This window comes from Homo sapiens, chromosome 12 (genome assembly GCF_000001405.40).
Source record: "Homo sapiens chromosome 12, GRCh38.p14 Primary Assembly".
In the NCBI taxonomy this organism is placed as follows: domain Eukaryota; kingdom Metazoa; phylum Chordata; class Mammalia; order Primates; family Hominidae; genus Homo; species Homo sapiens.
Window position 1 is genome coordinate 37709089 of NC_000012.12, and position 4366 is coordinate 37713454.

Sequence of the window (4366 nt, forward strand, 5' to 3'; positions counted from 1 at the left end):
TCACAAATGTCTGTCTGCAGATTCTTCAAAAGGACTCTTTCCAAGCTGCTCAATCAAAAGAAAGGTTCAACACTGTGAGATGAATGGACTTATCACAAAGTAGTTGCGCAGAATTCGTCTGTCTAGTTTATATGTGAAGATATTTCCTTTTTCACCATAGGACATCAAAGGCTCACAGATATCCCTCTACAGTTTCTGTGAAAAGACTGTTTACATAGAGCACAATGAAAAGAAAGGTTCAACTCTGTGAGACGAAGGGACACATCACACATCACAAAGAAGTTTCTCAGAATGCTTTTGTCTAGTTTTATATGAAGATATTTATTTTTCCTCATAGGCCTCAAGCGGTTCAGAAATATCTCTTTGCAGAATGTACAAAAAGAGTGTTTCCAGACTGCTCAATCAAAAGAAAGTTCAACTCTGTGAGAAGAATGCAAGCATCGCAATACTCTTTTTGTAGAATCTGTAAGTGTATATTAGGAGCACCTGGAGGCCTATTGTGGAATATGAAATAACTTCACATGAAAACTACATAGAAGCATTCTGGGAAACTTCTTTGTGATGTGAGCATTCATCTCACAGAGCTGAAACTATCTTTTGATTGAGTAATTTTGAAACACACTTTTTGTAGAATATGCAAGTGGATACTTGGATCACTTTGAGGCTTATGGTGGAAAAGGAAATATCTTCCCATAAAAACTACACAGAAGCATTCTGAGAAACTTCTTTGTGATTTGTGCATTCAGCTCACAGAGTTGAACCTATCTTTTGATAGAGCAGTTTTGAAACTCTCTTTTTGTAGTATCTGCATGTGCTTATTTGGAGCCCTTTGTGGCCGCTGCCGGAAAAGGTAATATCTTCCCATAAAAACTACACAGAAGCATTCTGAGAAAGTTCTTTCTGATGTGTGCATTCATCTCACAGAGTTGAACCTTTCATTTGTCTGAGCAATTTTGAAACACTCTTTTTGTAGGAAATGCAAGCGGATATTTTAAGCGCTTTGAGGCTTATTGTAGAAAAGGAAATATCTTCACATCATAAAAACTACACAGAAGCATTCTCAGAAACTTGTTTGTTTTGTGTACATTCGTCTCACGGAGTTGAACCTTTCTTTTGATTGTGTAGTTGTCAAACACTCTTTTTGTAGAATCTGCAAGTGGAAATTTGCATCCCTTTGAGGCCTAAGGTGGAAAAGGAAATATCTTCACATAAAAACTGCACTGAAGCATTCCGAGAAACTTCTTTGTGATGTGTGCATTCATCTTCCAGAATTGAAACTTTCATTTGGTTGAGCAGTTTTGAAACACTCTTTTTGTAGAATCTGCAAATGGATGTTTGGAGTGCTTTGAGCCCTATGGTGGAAAAGGAGATATCTTCACATAAAAACTACACAGAAGCATTCTGAGAAAATTCTTTGTGATCTGTGGATTCATCTCACAGAGTTGAACCTACCTTTTGATAGAGCAGTCTTGAAACTGTCTTTTTCTAGAATTTGCATGTGGATATTTGGAACCATAGGAGGCCTATCGTAGAAAAGGAAATATCTTCACATAAAAACTACACAGAAGCATTCTGAGAAATTTTTGGTTATGAGTGCATTCATCTCACAGAGTTGAAACTATTTTTTTATAAATCAGTTTTAAAACTCCCTTTTTTTTAGAAGCTGCAATTGTATATTTGGAGTCATAGGAGGTCTATTTTGGAAAAGGAAATATCTTCACATAAAAACTACACAGAAGCATTCTGAGAAACTTATTTCTGATGTGTGCATTCAACTCACAAAGATGAACCTGTTTTTTGACAGAGCAATTTTGAAATTCTCTTTATGTTGAATCTGCAAGTGGATATTTGGAGCCGTTTGTGGCCTATGGTGGGAAAGGAAATATCTTCTCATAAAAACTACACAGATGCATTCTGAGAAACTCCTTTGTGATGTGTGCATTCAACTCACAGTGTTCAACCTACCTTTTGATAGAGCAGTTGTGAAACTCTCTTTTTATAGTATCTGCAAGTGGATATTTGGAGCCCTTTGGGGCCTATAGTGGAAAAGGAAATATTTTCATATAAAAACTACACAGAAGCATTCTGAGAATCTTCTTTGTGATGTGTGCATTCATCTCACAGTGTTGAACATTTCTTTTGATTGAGCAGTTTGGAAACACTCTTTTGGTAGAATCTGCAAGTGGATATTTGTAGTGCTTTGAGGTCTATGGTGGAAAAGGAAATATCTTCACAGTAAAACATCACAGAAACATTCTGAGAAATTCCTTGTGATGTGTGCATGCATCTCATAGATTTGAACCTTTCATTCGATTGAGCAGTTTTGAAATACTCTTTTTGTAGTATCTGCAAGAGGATATTTGGAGTGCTTTGAGGCCTATTGTGGAAAAGGAAAAATCTTCACATAAAAACTACAGAGAAGCATTCTGAGAATCTTCTTTGTGATGTGCGCATTCATCTCACCAATTGAACCTTTGTTTTGATTGAGCAGTTTTGAAAAACTCTTTTTGTAGAATCTGCAAGTGGATATTTGGAGTGCTTTGAGGACTATGGTGTAAAAGGAAATATCTTCACATTAAAACCACATAGAAGCATTCTCAGAAACTTCTCTCTGATGTGTGCATTCAACTCGCAGAGTTGAACCTGTCTTTTCATAGAGCAGCTTTGAAACTCTCTTTTTGTAGAATCTGCAAGTGGATATTTTGAGCCTTTAGTGACCAATGGTGGAAAACGAAATATCTTCCCATAAAAACTACACAAAAGCATTCTGAGAAATTTCTTTGTAATGTGTGCATTCATCTCACAGAGTTGAACATGCCATTTGATTGAGCAGTTTTCAAACACGTTTTGCAGAATCTGCAAGTGGATACTTGGAGGGCTTTGAGGCCTATTGTCGAAAAGGAGATATCTTTACATAAAAACTACACAGAAGCCCTCTCGGAAACTTCTTTGTGATGTGTGCATTCATCTCACAGAGTCGAAACTTTCTTTTCCTTGAGCAGTTTGGAAACACTCTTTTTGTAGAATCTACAAGTGGATACTTGCTCGCTTTAAGGCCTACGGAGGAAAAGGAAATATCTTCCATTATAAACTATACAGAAGCATTCTGAGAACCTTCTTTGTGATGTGTGCTTTCATCTCACAGAGTTGAACCTTTCCTTTGATTGAGCAGTTTGGAAAAACTCTTTTTGTGGAATCTGCAAGTGGATATTTGGTACACTTTGAGGCCTATGGTGGAGAAGAAAATATCTTCACATAAAAACTACACGGAAGCATTCTGAGAAACTTCTTTGTGTTGCATGCATTCAACTCACAGGATTGAACCTGTCTTTTGATAGAGCAGTTTTAAAACTCTCCTTTTGTACAACCTTGAATTGGATATTTTGAGCCCTTTGTGGCCTATGGTGGAAAAGGAAATATCTTCACATAAAATCTACACAGAAGTATTCTGATAAATTTCTTTGTGATGTGTGCATTCATCTCACAGAGTTGAACCTCTCTTTTGAGCAGTTTGGAAACACCCTTTTTGTAGATTCTGCAAGTGGATATTTGCAGTGATTTCGAGCATATTGTGGAAAAGGAGGTAACTTCACATATAAACTACACAGAAGCATTCTGAGAAACTTCCTTGTGATGTGTGCATTCCTGACATAGAAGTGAACCTTTCTTTTCTTTTCTTTCTTTCTTTCTTTTTTTTTTTGAGATGGAGTCTTGCTCTGTCACCCAGGCTGGAGTGCAGTGGTGCGATCTCTGCTCACTGTAAGCTCTGCCTCCTGGGTTCACGCCATTCTCCTGCCTCAGCCTCCCAAGTAGCTGGGATTACAGGTGCCCGCCACCACGCCCAGCTAATTTTTTGTATTTTTAGTCGAGACAGGGTTTCCCCATGTTAGGCAGGATGGTCTCCATCTCCTGACCTCGTGATCCACCCGCCTCAGCCTCCCAAAGTGTTGGGATTACAGGCATGAGCCACCACGCCCATCCTGAACCTTTCTTTTCATTGCACAGTTTTGAAACACTCTTTTCATAGAATCTTCAAGTGGATATTTTGAGCGCTTGAGGCCTATGGTGGAAAAGGAAATATCTTCACATAAAAACTACACAGAAGCATTCTGAGAAACCTCTTTGTGATGTGTGCATTCAACTCACAAAGTTGAACCTATCTTTTGAAAGAGCAGCTTTGAATCTTTCTTTATGTTGAATCTGCAAGTGGATATTTGGAGCCCTTTGTGGCCTATGGTGGAAAAGGAAATATCTTCTCATAAAAACTACATAGAAGCATTATGAGAAACTCTATTGTGATGTATGCATTCAACTCATAGTGTTCAGACTATCTTTTGATAGAGCAGTTGTGAAACTCTCTTTTTGT